Source organism: Homo sapiens, chromosome 1, assembly GCF_000001405.40.
Source record: "Homo sapiens chromosome 1, GRCh38.p14 Primary Assembly".
Taxonomy (NCBI): domain Eukaryota; kingdom Metazoa; phylum Chordata; class Mammalia; order Primates; family Hominidae; genus Homo; species Homo sapiens.
The window spans coordinates 73,544,332-73,564,212 of NC_000001.11; positions in this window are offsets into that span (position 1 = coordinate 73,544,332).

Sequence of the window (19,881 nt, forward strand, 5' to 3'; positions counted from 1 at the left end):
TGAATAAATTTCAATTTTACCCTTTAGGAAAAAGCCAAAACTTTCCATGCCTTAGCTATTTCTACTATTCTTATGTGGTCACTTGTAATATATGCTCCATAATTAGTTGGTCTGGTTTAATTCTACCTAATTTTATGGTAAGTTTGAGTATTTAGTAATGCCTACTTGTTTTCTTCTTCCATATTATTTTTAAGAACTTTTTTTGTCTGTACATATTTTATAATAGCCTAACTTCCCTCATCATCAAGCATATGCTTTTCATGTTAGCCCTATTTCATCTGGGGACTTGGGGCAGACTATGTCTATAAAGATCACAAATACCTTTAAAAGAATAAAGAATACCAGTAGAGTCCAAATTACTTTTAAAGTATTTCACTCTTAGGTTTATATAAAATTATCTAATTTAACTTATATGAGCCCCAAAACTTAAAGCATCTTGAAAGGTTCTGCCTTGCCTATTGCATTTAAGTAGACAAATCTTGACTCTAGAATTTAAGGCTGTGCAGTTAATTGCCCCAAATTTCTCTTCCATTTACATTTTCTCTCTTATACCTATGATCTATGTTCCAGTCAATCTGAATTAATATCTTAGAAATTCATCTCCAAGATCCCAATACAGTGACTGGCACATGGTTAGTTATAAATATTAAACATGTGAAGAATTTACATATTTGTTGGAGCAAATCTTAGTGTAGCAGACCCAGGTTTTTTTAAATAAAAACTTTCCTTGTGATTTATTTAAAATTTACATAGAAACTTTCACTTGTACCTAGGATAATGGTGACTTCCTAGATGTAAATCTCTTTTCATGTTCTCCCCCAAAATCTATACATATCAATGAGGTGTGCAATAAAATCACACACAATCTTGTGATTTTTCCTGTTTCAAGGAAAATGAACACATGAACCACAAAATATCTGGAATTAGAGAAATAAACACAAAATACCCACATGTCTCTCAACAGAGTTTGTGCTGTAACTACACAAATATATTACATGACATGAGAGGAAAGGGTGCATGAATGACTGTGCAATGAAGAAGAGGATCATAGAAATGAAAGCACAACTAATGTAAAAATAAAGTTACCTCCAGAAAGAGAAAGTTTATCACTAAGTGCTGAAGCATATAATGCAAATTTAGGCCTTGCTAATACCCAACACTAAAACTAAGGAACATAATTGAAATATGAAAGACCAAGCAGCAGTCTCAGAGAGGCATCCTATTTTGGGTAGAAAAAATAAAAGAAAAGGCATCCTTTTCAGTAGATAAAAATCCATTCACTGAAACCAACTACAAGGGGGAGAAAGCTGCAACGTAACCCTTCAGATATGATTAATAATTTTAAAAATTGTGTAAGAATCAGGGGGAAAGAACTTGAATCAAATATTTTAAAACGAAGGACAGAAATGAATAAAAATAGAAATAAATCAGTGTAATTTCTCAAACTCAGGGAGGACATTAAAAAGAAAATTGAAAATCATTTGAGTATTAAAGAATAAAATATAAAATAACCAAATAAGAATATGTTTGAATAAAAATTTAATAAAGGTCATTAAAAGTGGTAAATATACAAGATTTTCAAAAATAAGATAAATAAATAAATTAAAAGTATTAGAATGAAAATAATTAAAGAGTAGAAGGCAGGCAATGAATATCATGCAGACATATAATTGGAGCCGCTAAAATAGAATAAGAAAACAACCCAAAAACTCTGAAATAATTTTAAGCTACAATTTTTAAAGTCTTGTCAAAATTGAAAGAAAAATAAAATCCACATATTGAAAGAATCTATCATGTTTCTGAGATAACTGACTCAGAACAATCAACTACAATACACATCCTAGAAAAAGTTTAGACTAAAATCAGATTAAAAATTTTTCACAGACTCTAAAAGGAAAAAATAAAACTTTTAATAATAGTACAAAAATAAGACAGGAATAAGAATTCTTAAAATTAACAACTCAAAAAATTATATGGAAATCAAGAAACTCAAGAAAATAAGTATAACTGTTTGATGTATCTTTTATATATTTAAGACTATAGAAAAACAGTTTATGCATGCAAAAATTTCAATACATACAGTACTCCTGAATCCTTCCTGAGGAATCCATTGGCAAATAAGTATCATTTAACCCAGATATAAATGAGGAAGATTTTAGCAAAAGAATTATAAGTGATCATTTAATATATTTAACTATAGAATAAATATATTAAATTTTTAATTGTATATTAAAACAATGGAACAGGGTTAGAAGTATCTATGTGAAATATAAAATACAAAAAATATCAAGTATAAAAAAATGGAGAGAAGGAAAAAAGAAAAAGGAAAGCAGAATAAATTCACTGATTAATGCATAGGAAATAGGTGAGAATTAAAGGATAACATTTAACAAGAAAAAATCAGATTAAAAAAGCTAAGAAAGAAAGGAGGTTAAAGGCACTAAAATTATGTAAATGAAAGTGTAATCAAAGTGACAAAAATACAAACCTTCCTTACACCAAAATATATTTAAAAATTCTATGCACTGATAAGGAATGATTCTCTGACAAGATTTTGAACGGGAAAATAAAAGCAGAGTTCTGTATATACAAAACTTTATATATATATATATATAAAACATATACAATTTACATATAATTTTCTCACTTTTCTGAATAAAATAAGACAGAAAATGTATCCCAGGTGTCTGTTTAATTTTGCAAAGACATAAATTTTTTGTGTGTGTTTCTCAAAAACACAGGAAGGATAAACTTGCCTACAATTAAATGAGTGGGGTAAGAGAATGGGATGGAAGGGATAGAATGGAAGCTACACTTGTCTGAGTACATCTTTCTGTACTGATTTAACATTGGAATCATGTTAATGTTCCTCATATTCAAAATATAAAACTAAATTTTAAAAGATGGAAGTATGTCCTAAAATGGAATATAAACATGAATACAACTGCATTTCAAATGAATAATATGACCACACTGAAAAAAAGTACTAATTCATGTAACTTTTGATGAGAGTACCTTGACTTCTTGCCCTCAGTCTAAAAAGAAATTGTAAATATATTCAACTTTACTCCTAGGTATATGTTTTTATAGTGGTACTGGTATAGCAATTCTGAAACTATATTACCTACATTGTAAGATTATAAAAATAAGTATATTCCTTGTTAGAAGTCATAGCGTCATTATAGAAGAAAACAAATATCAAGATTGAATGGCAAAAGTCAAAAACTGAATTTGTTGGGGTATACAAAAATAGGAATTATTAGTAGAAAGTCATGAATTCCAAATACCTTGCTCTGTCCCTTGTTCATCCCTAGCAGGGATGAACATCACCAGGGATCAGAGAATGATCTTTCCTGCAGTAGAATGCAATAAATAAATGTAGAACAAATGATAGATTCAGAACGTCACCCATTTTCAAACCTCAAAATTAGAATCAATTGAGGCAAGAATCACTAAGAAATTCTAAAACTAAACAGTGAAAATTTTATGAGGAACATATATTTATAGAATCACAAAGTATATTCCACAAATTGTGTTTTAATTACAAAGGGAAAAGAGTAACTTTAAAATGAAGGCATATGATGGATACCACCTTAGCTCTCCATTTTATTACTAAGCTCCCTGTCTTTTGTCTCTGCATATGATTTGACACTGCAGATTATTAGTTACCATATCTAGTACACTGAGATGAGATTATTTAATTAATAATAAGCTATATCACTTTTCAAAGATTGAAGAAAGAATGAGATGTAAAGAATTAGAAAAAGTCATTGGTGATTAGTCTGAAGTAATTTGGCTGTGATAGAAAGAAGAGAAATTTGTAGCTGAAAATAAATACGGGTCTAAGAAAGTATTATTTCTTTAAAAAGCAGATATTTGAGCATATATATATATGTATATATATATATATATACTCGACAGAGGTGCAGTGGAAAAGTGACTTTAGCTTTTGCTGATTTCAATAATGTAAATATTCCCACTATGAACATTTTCAAGTTGCCAACAGTTTAACAATCTCTTAAATCCCTAAATATTTAACAGGAGCAGCAGGGCATGGAGACATCATTATGGGAATCCAAAACATGGTTGGATAAATTAGCAACTCTGATGCTAAAGAGAATAGGAAAAAGATTCTAATTATCTAGAGTGATGCTTAATGCTTTTGGCCCTAAATCCGTTTCCTCTAATGTTGATAGCACAAAACCAGCACATTTTTCTTAGAATTGGCCTGATAGGACTTTCCCTTCAGTTTTCTTTCAATCCCTTTAATTACTTTTTTATTTTTGAAAATTTGTCTTTTAAACTTGAGCAATCTGTTTCCAATTTTTTGGTAATTAATGATGTATATTATATGTACCATTGTGTTTTCTACTTGTGTGAGGTAATTTTCTGGGTTTTTTCATCTTTGCTTGGCAAATTTTGACTGCTTGACCATTTTGTAATTCCTTTATTGTGCATCATGTACAATTCCACATGATGAGTCAATTATTAATGATGACTCTAGCAATTAAAACATGCACACTGAATTTAGTAAGTCAAAATTTAGGCAATATCTTTTTCTTCTTTTTAAATAGTCTAACTAATTTAGGACATTTAGCTCAACTTAATGTTACCTTAAAGGTTAATATTTTAATCTGTGTTCTATCATCATTTTCTTTTCTCTTTAAAAACAAAACACTGCTATTATTGTTATTTTACAGAGTCAAGGTTTTATTTCAATGTTTACCCACTTTATTAGTCTGTTTTCACACTGCTGATAAAGATATACCTGAGACCAGGCAATTTACAAAAGAAAGTGATTTAATGGACTTACAGTTCCATGTGGATAAGTAGGCCTCACAATCATGGCAGAAGGTGAAAGGCACATCTTACATGGCGGTGGCAAGAGAGAGAATGAGAACCAAGTGAAAGGGGTTTCCCCATATAAACTATCAGATCTCCTGAGATTTATTCACTACCATGAGAACAGTGTGGGAGAAACTGCCCCCATGATTCAATTATCTCACACTGGTCTCTCCTACAACACATGGGAATTGTGAGAGTACAATTATGATGAGATTTGGGAGCGGACACGGAGCCAGACCATATCATTCTTCCCTGGCCCCTCCTAAATCTCATGTTCTCACATTTCAAAACACAATCATGCCTTCCAAATAGTTCTCCAAAGTCTTAACTCATTTCAGCATTAACTCAAAAGTCCACAGTCCAAAGTCAGTCTGTAAAATCAAAAGCAAATTAGTTACTTCCTAGATACAATGGGGGTACAGGCATTAGGTAAAGACAGCCATTCCAAATAGAAGAAACTGGTTAAAACAACGTGGCTACAGGCCACATGCAAGTCCAAAATCCAGCAGGGTAGTCAAATCCTAAAGCACCAAAATGAACTCCTTTGACTCCATGTCTCACATCCAGGTCATGCTGATGCAATAGGTGGTTCCCCATGGCCTTGGGCAGCTCTGCCCCTGTGGCTTTGCAGGGTATAGCCTTCCTCCCATCTGCTTTCATGGGCTGGCATTGAGTGTCCACAGCCTTTCCAGGTGCACAGTGCAGGCTTTCAGTGGATCTAGCATTCTGAGGTCTGGAAGACAGGGCAGTGGCCCTCTTCTCACAGCTCCACTAGGCAGTGCCCCAGTACAGACTCTGTGGGGGGACTCTGACCCCACTTTTCCCTTCTGCACTGCCTTAGCCAAGGTTCTCCATGAGGGCCCCACCCCTGTAGCAAACTTCTGCCTGGGCATCCAGGTAGTTCCATACATACTCAGAAATCTAGGCAGAGGTTCTCAAACCTCAATTCTTGACTTCTGTGCACCAACAGGCTAAATACCACATGGAAGCTGCCAAGCTTGGGGCTTCCACCCTCTGAAGCAACAGCTTGAGCTGTACCTTGGTTCCTTTCAGTCATGGCTGGAGCATCTCGGGGCACAGGGCACCAAGTCCTTAGACTGCACACAGGAGAGGGTCTCTGGGCCCAGCCTATGAAACCATTTTTTCTTCCCAAACCTCTGGGCTTGTGATGGGAGGGGCTGCTTCAAAGATCTCTGACATGTCCCGGAGACTTTTCCCCCATTGTCTGGGTGATTAACATGTGGCTCCTTGCTACTTATGCAAATTTCTGCAGCTATCTTGAATTTCTACTCACAAAATGGAGTTTACTTTTCTGTCACATTGTCAGGATACCAATTTTCTGAACTTTTATGCTCTGTTTCCCTTCTAAAACTGAATGCCTTTAATAGCACCCAAGTCACCCATTGAATGCTTTGCTGCTTAGAAATTTCTTCCGCCAGATACCCTAAATCATCTCTCTCAAGTTCAATGTTCCAAAAATCTCTGGGACAAGGACGAAATCCTGCCAATCTCTTTGCTAAAACATAACAAGAGTCACCTTTTCTCCAGTTCCCAACAAGTTCCTCATCTCCATCTGAGACCACTTCAGCCTGGATTTCATTTCTCATGTCATTATCAGCATTTTGGTCTAAGCCATTCGACAAGTCTGTAGGGAGTTTCTCACATTTTCCTGTCTTCTTCTGGTCCCTCCAAACTGTTCCAACGTCTGCCTATTATCCAGTTCAGAAGTTTCTTCCACATTTTCGGGTATCTTCTTGGCAGCACTCCCCTCCTGGTATCAATTTTCTGTTTAGCCTGTTTTCAGGCTGCTGATAAAGATAACCAAAGTCCGGGCAATTTACAAAAGAAACAGGTTTCATGGACTTACAGTTCCACATGGCTTGGGAGGTCTCACAATCATGGCAGAAGGCAAAAGGTACTTTTTACAAGGCAGCAGCAAGAGAGATAATGAGAATCAAATGAAAGGGGTTTCCACTAACAAAACCATCAAATCTCCTAAGACTTATTTACTACCATGAGAACAGTATGGGAGAAACTGCCCCCATTATTTAATTATCTCCCACCAGTTCCCCCCACAACAATACAGGGGAATTATGGGAGTACAATTCAAGATGAGATTTGTGAAGGCACACAGATCCAAACCTTATCACTCACATAGTCACAGTGTTCCATATTCTTTATTCTTTCTTGTAATACGAGTTTGCTGTTTGAGGTCAATTTCTTCTAATGTTTATCTTTTATAGTGCCCTTCAGTGAGGAAGTGATAGTGGCATATAATGTCTTTTGTTTTCTGCAAATGAATTTCCCTGACTTAAAACTATAGGTTAACATTCACTTTCACTCAATGTATTTAAGATATCATTTTACTATCTTGTAATTTCCAATGGTGTTGAGGATAAATTAATCAATGTGGTAATCTTTCTTTGAAGGAAATTGTTTTTACCTAGCTGAGGTGTTCTCTTCATCATCTACACTTTCACAGTCAGATATGTAGCTAACTTTTTTCTATTTATCCTATTTGATTTTGATTTATCTGTGTATTTTTCTCTTTTATCTCTTCAGACAAATTAAATCAATATCACTCTTACCTTTCTCTGGAGTCAGATTTTCATGTGACAACCAGAATTTTAAACATATATTTTAAATAATATATAGATGATACATTTGTGCATATATATAATTTATATATAATTTGTAATGTAGACTATATATGTATATATAATTTTTAATCCTATTAGGAAACCATATTAGGTAACCTCCTCTATTTAAAATTTCCTTTAATCTTCTGTTCGTATTCAAAGTAAAATCATAATTCCTTAACATTTCTAATCTCATACTACTATTTCTCTTCATTCACAGACCACATTTTGCTGTTCTTATAAGAATTGAGGTGTGCTATCTTCATTGCCTTTGCACTTGCTTTTCCCTCTGCATGTAATTTTTTTCCTCTCAGAATGTGATGTTTGGTCTCTCACTTTCTTCACATCTCTCCTCAATTGTTATCACCTCCTGAAAAACCTTCTGGGATCACTTTAGCTAAATATTCTGTATCCTTTCCCAAAATATTCCAACTCCTTCTCTTTTATTCATAACACTTATATTGTTATACATAATTTCATAATATATTATTTATTTATTTTATTATTGTATGTATCTTGACTATAATATAAGCTGCATTTATCCAGGAGTTTAATCTATGTTATGCAATACTATATCCCATGTCTTTGGGCAATGTTTAGAACTTACCACATTCTTAAGAAAACAGTATTGAATCAACAAATTACTGAATAAGATTTTCATGGTATTGCTCAAACTCTATTTAAGTTCTGTGATTATATTGAAGTAGAAAAGTATAAGTAGCCTCCGCCTGAGAGTACTATAAGAAGATAGTTTTTTAGAGGGAGAAATAGGATTCAAATAACATAAATAGAAACTAGGAATAATATTTAATAAAAAGACCATACATGCCAGGATTTGAATTTATATGCAGTTACTCTAGAGCTATAGGATCTCTAACAGATGAACCTATTTAAATTTCAACTTTTATTTTTAAAATACTAGTTAGTTATGAACAGCACTTGTTCAACGCAAATAAGCATCATCCTCAGCAATTTACACAAATAACTTAATTCTCACAACAAATATATGAATTAGGTTAATTATGAATACAGAAGAGTTAAATAAACTAATTGAGGTTCAATACTTAGTAAAAAGCAGAGCACAAACCTGAACCCAGCAAATCTGATTCAGAGGTTCTGTTCCTTTTTATTTTTTATATTTTAAATTATAGATCACAGGACATTGTACTATTAGTACTGAAAGGCCAATTCACCCAGCTTCCTCCAATTCACCCAGCTTCCTCCATGGTCACACCTTCTGTAACTATAGTAAATATCAAAACCAGGCAATTGATCTTTATATAATGTTTATTTTTGTTATGGTTAATATTGAGTGTCAACTTGATTGGATTAAAGGATGAAAAGTATTGTTCCTGGGTGTGTGTGTGAGGGTGTTGCCAAAGGAGATTACCAGTTGAGTTCATGGACTGGAAGAGGCAGACTCACCCTCAATTTGGGTAGGCACCATCTAATCAACTGCAAGTGTGGCTAGAATAAAGCAGGCAGAAGAAAATGGAATGAGGTGTCACTGAGTCTTCCAGGCTTCATCTTTCTCCCATGTGGGATGCTTCCTGCCCTTAAACATCGGACTCTAAGTTCTTCAGCATTTGGACTCTTGGACTTACAGCAGTGGTTTGCCAGGGGCTCTTTGGCCTTTGGCTAAAGACTGAAGGCTGCACTGTTTGCTTCCCTAATTTTGAGGTTTTGGAACTCAGACTGGCTTCCTTGTTCTTCAACTTACAGGAGCCTATTGTGAGACTTCACCTTTTGATCATGTGAGTCAATTATCCTAACAAACTCCCTTTCATATATACATATATCCTACTAGCTCTGTCCCTTTAGAGAACCCTAATACAATGTTTTTAGAGTATACATGTACATAATGCATACAATATGGGCTATGTCATTTTTATCAGACATATTGATTATGTTGCCATCACTTCAATAAAAATAAATATTCCATCACCATAAAACCTATTTTACCACTCTTTCATACTCAAACCAAAGTATCTCTAACCCCTTAAAACAACTTATTTATTTTTTTCTGTAGTTTTATCACTTTAAGTATGTTACTTAAATAAAATCATATAGTATATCAACTTTGAGGATTTTTTTCAGCATAATCCCCTTGAGATTGTTATATTTGAAGTGTGTTCATTGTAGAAAGCATATTCTCCTTGAATCAGTATTTTTTCCCCACACTGGCAATAATTATTTTAATTGATGCATTTAGATCATTTATATTAAGGTAATTATTGATATATTAGAACTTGTCATTTATGTTTCTTTTCTGTTGTTCTCTGCTTTTTTCTTCAGTTTTGTTTTTTCTATTTTTCTATATGTTACGGATACATATTTTATAAATCCATCTTGATTTACCTATAGTGTTCTTTTTAACACCCTAATTGAAGTATGAATGATATGCAAAGTACTGCACATATATAAATGTACACAATCTGATGTGCTTGGACACAGGCAAACATTATGATACCAACACCACAATCAAGATCATAGATACATCCAATATCTCCCAATGTTTTCTGTGTCACTTTGTTTCTGCTTTTAGTAATAAGAGCACTTAATTTGAGTTCTACCCTCTTAAAAAAAACTTTGAAGTACACAATACCATATAGTTAACTCTAGGCACTATGTTGCACAGCAGATCTCTAGAAGCTATTCACCTAGCATAACTGAAACTTCATATCCATTGAATAACCACTCCCCATTTTCTTCTCACCATGGCTCCTCCTTTGGTATAGAAATAACACTATTGTATTTTTAGCTTCTCTAGGTTTGGCTCTTTTAGATACCTCTTAAAAGTGAAATCATGCAGTATGTGTTATGTGAATGTATCTGTAATGTTTTTTAGTATATCTCCTTGTTTAGATTACCTAATGATTGCTCTAAGTATCACATTCAATATAAATCCTTTATCAGTGTCTACTGGTGTCAACATTTGACTAGTTCAAGAATGGAAATCTTACCTTTTTGATATCTCTTTATCCATTACCATAAAATATTATGGCATTTTTTTCCATAGGTTTACTATTTCCATTCTTCTTTATTTATCCCTGTCATTCCAAGACTTCTTCTTCTCTTATTTCCTTTCTGTTTAGAGAAATGCTTTTGGCTATTCTCTCAGGGCATATGTGCTGACAAAAAAATTCTCATGCTTTTCCTTCTTCTGATAATGTATTGATTCCTCTTCTGTCCTCACAGATAGTTTTAGTGATACAGAATTCTGACTTGACAGTTCTTTTAGCTCTTGAAAGATGTTGCGTTCTTCCTTCTGGCCTCTGTGGTTTCTCATGAGAAACCAGAGTTGTCATCTGTATTAGTTTTTCACTAAAGGTAATGCTTTATTTCTCTCAGGTTGCTTTCAATATTTTATTGTAGTTTTTAGAAGTTTGATAATATTCCTTGGCATGTATTTCTTTAGATTTTTCCTCTTTCAGGCTCAAACAGCTTCTTGAATCTGTAGATTATGTCTTTTACCAAATTTGGGAATTTTTCAACCAGTACTTTTTAAAATACTTTTTCAGCAATACCTTTTCCCACCCTTCATGTTGTCTCCTCTCCTTTTGATACTTTGATGACAGCAGTGTTATATCTTTTGCCATAAACTCCCATGTCACAGACTTTGTTTATGTGAATTCATTCCATTTTCTCTGTGTTGTTCAGAGAGGGTATAATCATGGTATTGGCATCAGCTGAGTGTCTTTTCTCCTCCGAGTTGAGATTTTTCTGGCTGGTATAATCGATGATTTTTTATTAAATCCTGAAACTTGGGTATTATATTATGAGACTCTGAATCTTATTTGCAGCTCCTCTTTTAGTGAGACTCCACTGACAAGACTCTGGCAGGAGAAGAGTCTCTGCATCATTATTTCCAGGAGGCCACGCTACAAACTTGGCATCCATTGACACATTGGGAGAGTGGTCTCCGTACCAGTGGGTTGTAGTGATAGTTCTGACTCTCCATTAGGCCTCCTCTAACATCATTCCAGCAGGAAGAGGAAGAGGTAACTCATTAGTTTCAAATGGTGTTGGAAGTGCAGTCTTCCAAAGTCATTTCCACTTGGCACAATAGAGGGAAGGGACCTTGCTATCTCTTGGCAAGAATGAAAGGCCGGGTTTCCCAGTCAATCTTTAATTCCATGCTAGCTGGAGCTTAGGTTTCTCCTTCTTGACTGGAAAGGGTGAATGTCTTTGTTTCCCATATGAACTTTGCCGAGGCAGTTGTGAGTGTGGCCAGTTTTCTCTAAGGTATTTAGCTAGGGTAGAGTAATTATTGTTGAACATTTTTCTGTCTTGCTAGGCTGCCCCTTTACCAGTCTTTTGGTTAGCACAAATAGGTTTTTCTGACGTTTTTTCACCCTTTGCAGTTGGTGTTTCTAGGTTGCTCACTTCTCCAGCATAAATTTGAAATATATGTGGCAAAATAAAAACTTAGAACTCATTACCATTGCATTTTTTGTCTACTTCATCTTTTTGAAAGCCCAGAGTCCATGTTTTTAACTTGCATTTTATCCTGCCTCTCAGTGAAGTTATGTATAAAAATCTTAATACATGAAAAAATTTTAAAAGTCTCCCTACTTGCATTTGCAAAATCAGCATTATAATATTTATAGCCCAAGATTGCTGTGACTACTAAATCACATATGGTAAGTAAAGATTTTGGCACAGTGCCAGGTGTTTAATAAGTATTCAATAAACTACAGTTATGCAAATAGGAATTGTAACTTCAAAAGATTTCAGTATTAAAATAACTGGTAGAAAGAATAAGGTAAAAACTCAGGAAAGATTAACACTAGAAGAAAATTAATATTCAACCAATAATAATGACTCTTAAGAGTTTAACTACCAATTATGTTCCAAAGCCTTTATACCTGTTTGATGTATAATTGTGATTATCATCTTATGAGACAGATAATATTATCATTCTATTTAAAAGATCAGAATACTTAGTAAAAGAGAGGTAAGTCCCATCACCCAGTATTCAAGGGAAATAGTATGCAGACAAAGTTTTAATTCTGTCTAGGCTGTATTCTACCAGAATACAACTGATATATAAATATATCATTCCCAATATGAAATATCTGAACATTTCCATACTGACCTCTTCAAATTTTGTCATGTTAAATATATGCTTATGATTATATAAAATAATCTAGAGCTTTTATAAATCATCTAAATAAAAGTATGAATATACAATCCACACCCTATGAAGTGAGTTTAAATCAGTGCTGTGTGATTTAAATCACAATTCACAAAAGAATAAATTGAATTATTTTGAATATCTAGAAACAATATAAAGTGATATGCTTAAAATAAAAAAATAATTTTAAAACCAGGGAAAATAATTTTTCTAGAGGAAATTAGACAATGTGGTATCTTGCAAAGAAAAAAAATGGTATAGATTCATTATTATTTCAGATATTCAAGGTGAGGCATCAAGCTACACTAATGCTTTATGAGTTTATAATTCCCTTCCCACAGTAATGCTAAAGGACCAAGAAATGAGATGAGAAATACCCTCCCACTCTAATTCTTCTAAGCTGTGGACCATGTAACAAACCACTGGTATTACGCTGATAACTATGTAGTAAAACTATGTGTTACTGACTGATATTGTTTGGCTGTGACCTCACCCAAATCTCATTTTGAATTGTAGTTCCCATAATGCCCATGTGTCGTGGAAGGAACATGGTGGGAGGTAATTGAATCATGGGGGCGGTTATCCCTATCCTGTTTGCGTAGTAGTGAGTGAGTACTCACGAGATCTGATGGTCTTATAAGCAGCTTTTCCCCCTTTTGCTTGGCACTTCTCCTTGCTGCTGCCATGTGAAGGGTGTGATTGCTTCTCCTTCTGCCATGATTGTTAGTTTCCTGAGGCCTCCCCAGCCATGCCGAACTGTGAGTCAATTAAACCTCTTTTTTTTCTTTTCTTTTCTTTATAAATTACCCAGTCTTGGGTACGTCTATATTAGCGGTGGGAGAACAGACTAATACAGTAAATTGGTACCAGGTAGTGGGGTGTTGCTGTAAAGATACCTAAAAATGTGGAAGCGCCTTTAAAACTGGGTAACAGGCAGAAGTTGAAACAGTTTGGAGGACTCAGAAGAATAAAGATGTGGGAAAGTTTGGAACTTCTTAGAGACTTATTAAATGGCTTTCAACCAAATGTTAATAGTGATATGAACAATGAAGTTCAGGCTGAGGTGGTCTCAGAGGGAGGTAAGGAACCTGTTGGGAACTGGAGCAAAGGTGACTCTTGTTATGCTTTAGCAAGGAGACTGGTGGTATGTTGTCCCTGTCCTAGAGATCTTTGGAACTTTGAACTTGAGAGAGATGATTTAAGGTATCTAGTGGAAGAAATTTCTAAGTAGTAAAGCATTCAGGAGAAAGCAGAGCATAAAGGTTAGGAAAATTTGCAGCATGGTGATGCAATAGAAATGAAAAACCCATTTTCTGGGGAGAAATTCAAGTCTGCTGCAGAAATTTGCATAAGGAACAAGGAGTGGAATGTTACCCACCAAGACAGTGGGGAAAATGTCTCCATGGCATGTTAGAGACCTTCACAGCAGCCCCTCCCCTCCTAGGCCAGAAGGCCTAGAAGGAAAAAATGGTTTTGTGGGCTGGGCTCAGGACTTTCCTGCTGTGTGCAGCCTAGGGACTTGGTGCTCTGCGTCCCAACTGTTTCAACCCCAACCATGGCTAAAAGGGGCCAAGCTACAGCTTGGGCCATTTCTTCAGAGGGTGCAAGCCCCAGCCTTGGTGACTTCCACATGGTGTTGGACCTGCAGGTACCCAGAAGTCAAGAATTGAGATTTGGGAACCTCTACCTAGATTTCAGAGGATGTATGGAAATGCCTGGATATCCAGTCAGAAGTTTACCATAGGGATGGAGCCCTCATAGAGAACCTCTGCTAGGGTAGTGCAGAAGAGAAATGTGGGGTGGGAGCTCCCACACAGAGTCCCCACTGGGGCACTGCCTGGTAGAGCTCTGAGAAGAGGGCCATCGTCCTCCACACTCCAGAATGGTAGATCCACTGACAGCTTAAACAGCATGCCCAGAAAAGTGCAGACACTCAACATCAGCCCCTGAAAGCAGCCAGAAGGGGGCTGTAGACTGCAAAGCCACAGGAGTGGAGCTTCCCAAAGCCATGGGAACCCATCTCTTGCATCAGTGTGATCTGGATGTGACACATGGAGTCAAAAGAGATCATTTTGGAACTTTAAGGTTTAATTGACTGTCCTATTGGATTTTGCAATTGCATGGAACCTGTAGCCCCTTTTTTTTTGGCCAGTTTCTCCCATTTGGAATAGGTGTATTTACCCAATGCCTGTACTCCTATGGTATCTAGGAAGTAACTAACTTGCTTTTCATTTTACAGTCTCATAGGCAGAAGGGAGTTGCCTTGTCTCAGATGAGACTTTGGACTGTGGACTTTTGAGTTAATACTGGAATGAGGTAAGAATTTTGTGGACTGTTGGGAGGGAATGGTTGTGTTTTGAAATGTGAGGACTTGAGATTTGGGAGGGAATGATATGGATTGGCTGTGTCCCCACCCAAATCTTATCTTGTGTTGTAGTTCCCATAATCCCCACATGTCATGGGAGGGACCTGGAGGAAGGTAATTGAATCATGGGGCCACTTACCCCCTTGCTGATGTTCCAATGATAGTGAGTGATTTCTCACAAGATCTGATGATTTTATAATGGGCTTTTGCCCCTTTTTCTTGGCACTTCTGGATGCTTCCATGTGAAGTAGGACATGTTTGCTTCTCCTTATGCCATGATTGTAAGTTTCCTGAGGCCTCCCCAGCCATGCTGAACAGTCAGTCAATTAAATCTATTTCCTTTATAAATTACCTAGTCTTGGGTATGTTGTTATTAGTAGCATGAGAATGAACTAATACAGTGACTTAATCCTTATTCTGTAGGTTTGCTTGCTTGTTTAAGGGATTGGTGTAAGAGCAAATGGAATTAAGGATGCATGCACAATTCATGCAATTCTACTGAAAGTTAGTGTCTATTCAACAGCAGTATTTCTCAAAGTTTGTTCTCCTGACCAGCAGCAACCACATGAACTAAAAATTGCTTAAAATGCCAATTCTCACTTGGAAGCTACTGAATCAGAAACACTAGTGTTGAAGCCCAGATGTTTGTGTTTTAAGGAGACCTCCAGGAAATTTTTATGTATGTTAAAGCTTGAGGACCACTGGTGTTGAAGACATAAGCCAGCTTCCTACTGTCCTCAATTCTTCTCAGCTTATGCCACTAACTTCTATGCATTAATTTACCCAAGTACACTTCCAAAACCAATTCTAACAAGGACAGAAATTTAAGAATTATGCCCTCTAATAAGTCTTATTATATAAACCTAAAGTATTATTTCATTCCATGAGCACTATACACTTGTTTTCTCACTAACTCATTGTCTGTCAGTGATCTCAATCCCCACCTCTTTCCTCAGCCTCTTGGCTTTGACAAACTACTGAGAGACATCTTAGTTTCCTCCACTGACAACTGATTCTTCCTTCAAACTTTTTTCTTGAACCATTATTCTTTCCTTGAATTCTAACCTAATTAATGGATATTCTGCTTCATATTCTGTCTAGATCTAAGCAATCTTGGAAATTCCGTATATTGTTACTTTTTGCTGTTAGTCTACTCTATGTAAGTTACTGAAATTATGGGAATAAATATTTACATTTTATGTGTTCATAGAATTTATAATCTAGAGTGGATGAAAAATATTGATGAAGTAATTTTAAGTATGAACTGTTATGAAGAAGAAGTTTATGAACTAGGAGCATGTTAGGGGATAATAATAAATTCCCCATTAAAAATTCACAAAACGCTACCCTGATGAAGTGCATTTAAGTAGAATCCTAGAGGAGGATGAGCAGGAATTAGTCAGACACAGGTGATGTAAAGAGGAATGTGTGAATTTCCTAACAAAGAAGTATGAAGTATTCAAGCATCTGAAAGAAAGATATTTGGAAGAGAAGTACACAGAGATAAAATGAGGGAGGATACATGGTTGCACAGTACTTGGCTTGGGAGAGATTCAGGACCTTGTAAATCAGATAAAGGGTATTGAACTGAATTCCAAAGACAATAAATAAAGCAACTTATGATATGTGACATGAGGACATTTGCCATAAAGAAATATTGCTCAGAAGATAGCAGATAATGAATTGAAGAGAACAGGAATAAATGTCAGGAAAAGAACCAGGAAGGTATTGGGGTCAAGTGAGCAAAAGAAGATGATAACTTGGGCTAGTATGACAGTATTGAAGTTTGAGTGTTGCAAATACATTTGCAAAATGATTAACTGTTGCTATGGAGAGTCAAGAATAAAAGATGGCTACTATTATATGTAACTTGAAAACCCCAGTATCATATTCTTAATTCAATTTTTGGTGCCATCTATTTCGTTCTAAAAGTGTTTTATGAGATTAATTTTTAAGCTCCTATTCGTGAGTGACAAAATTTGATATTTGTCTTTCTGTGTCTGGCTTATTTCACTTAACAAAATGTCTTCCAGTTTCATTCATGTTGTTGCAAATGGCAGAATTTCATTTTTTATGGCTGAATAATATTCCATTGTGTAAATGTACCACATTTTTTTATCCATTCATCCACTGATGGACACATGTTGAGTCCATGGCTTGGATATTGTGCATAGTGTTACAATAAACATGAGAGTGCAAATATGTTTTTGATACACTGATTTTCTTTCTTTTGGATATATATCATCAGTTGGATTGCTGGATCATACTGGTTCAATTTTTAGTTATTTGGAGAAGCTCCATACTGTGTTCTGTAATAGCTGTACTAATTTACATTTTCACCAACAGTGTAAGAGTATTCCCCTTTCTTAATATCCATGCCAGCATTCATTTTTTTTATGTTTTTGGTAAAAGCCATTTTAACTGGGGTGAGATGACATCTCATACTCATATTGTACTACAAAACTGTAATAACAAAAAACAGCACGGTAGTGGCATTTAAAGAAGACACTTAGAACAACAGAAAAAAAGCAAGAACTTTGAAATAAATTCATGTATTTATACTCAACTCATTTTTGGTCAATGACCCAAGAACATATATTGGGGAAAGGACAGTCTATTCAATAAATAAATGGTGGTTGGAAAACTGAACACTCATATGAAGAAGAATGAAACTAGACCCCTATTTCTTACCATATAAAAAAATCCACTCAAAATAGATTAAAGACTTAAATGTAAGACATGAAAGTAACAAAATTACTAGAATAAATCGTTGGAAAAATGCTCCAACTTCTTAATCTGGGCAAAGATTTCTTGAGTAAGACCTCAAAAGCACAGGCAGCCTAAGCAAAAATATACAAATAGAATCACCAAGCTAAAAAAGGTTATGCATGACAAAGGAAACAACAAAATGAAGAGATAACCTACAGAATGAGAGAAAATATTTGCAAACTATTCAATTGACAAGGAACTAGTAACCAGTACATGTAAGCAACTCAGAAATCTCTACAGCAAAAAACCTCACAAATAATCAATTTAAAAGTGGGCAAAATATCTGAACAGATATTTCTCAAAAGAAGACATACAAATGAGCAACAGGTATATGGAGAAATGTTCAACATCACTAATCATCAGAGAAATGCAAATCAAATTCTTTTATACCATTTGATTTTTTTAAAGCAACAATATGTCTCATTAAATTTTTTATTCAAGGGCTATAAAACTAAAATAACTCTTAATAAATAGTTAAAAACCAAAATTCACAAATGGGACCTAATTAAACTAAAGAGCTTCTGCACAGCAAAAGAAACTATCATCAGAGTGAAAAGGCAACCTACAGAATGGGAGTAAATTTTTGCAATCTATCCATCTGACAAAGGGATAATATCCAGAATCTACAAAGAACTTAAAAAAAATTACAAGGAAAAGACAAACAATCCCATCAAAAAGTGGGCAAAGAATATGAACAGACACTTCTCTAAAAAAGACACTTATGTGGCCAGCAAACATACGAAAAAAAGCTCATTGTCACTGGTCATTAGAGAAATGCAAATCAAAACCACAATGAGATACCATCTCATGCCAGTTAGAATGGCGATCATTAAAAAGTCAGGAAACAACAGATGCTGGAGAGGATGTAGAGAAATAAAAATGCTTTTACACTGTTGGTGGGAGTGTGAATTAGTTCAACCATCGTGGAAGACAGTGTGATGATTCTTCAAGGATCTAGAACCAGAAATACCATTTGGCCTAGCAATTCCATTACTGGGTATATACCCAAAGGATTATAAATCATTCTAGTATAAAGACATGTGCACACATATGTTTACTGCAGCACTGTTCACAATAGCAAAGACTTGGAACCAATCCAAATGTCCATCAATGATAGACTGGATAAAGAAAATGTGTCACATATACACCATGGAATACTATGCAGCCATAAAAAGAGGATGAGTTCATGTCCTTTGCAGGGACATGGATGAAGCTGGAAACCATCATTCTCAGCAAACTAACACAAGAACAGAAAACCAAACACCACATGTTCTCACTCATGTGTGGGAGTTGAACAATGAAGACACATGGACATGGGGAGGCGAACATCACACACCATGGCCTTTTGGGGGATGAGGGGTTAGGGGAGGGATAGCATTAGGAGAAATACCTAATGTAGATGACGGTTTGATGGGTGCAGCAAAACACCATGACATGTGTATACCTATATAACAAAACTGCACGTTCTGCACATGTATCTCAGAACTTAAAATGTAATAATAAAATAAGAGTTAAAAATTGTTCACTTATCATTTTCATCATAATTGGCATTTTTAAAAATCACAGATATTCTCAATATTATACATATTAATATTTTGCATTTGAAGTGAAAAGCTGAGGTTCTTCAAAGTACAGAATGTATCTGTGGTGTATTGATGAGAAAAATCACTTGAAATCATAAACAAATGTCTTGCTACAATTTGTAATATCAGAAAAATTTTGTATTTAATTTTAATACTTAATTCAAAAATTTGTGTTGTCCTCTTTTTCTTGAAAGCCAGCTTAAATCATCTCAGAATAGTATTTTTTCAGATCTTTTGCCAGTTTCCTTACAGAATAAAATGAGAAGTAAACTCAGTGGCCACAGTTTATATATCCAGTTACCAGTAATTTTATTAAGACTTGATCAAGATAAAGATATATAATTTTAACAACTATCTTCTATGATTAACTTTGATTCACATTTCCATTATACTTATTCATGCTATATAAATGGTAGTCTATATATATTGATGCCTATGCATTTTTGTATTCTACTCACTAAACAATCACTAACAAATGAAAATCTCTTATTTTGTGTCATGAATTTTCAATATTAAATTGAAGAAAATATCATCAAGCTACAG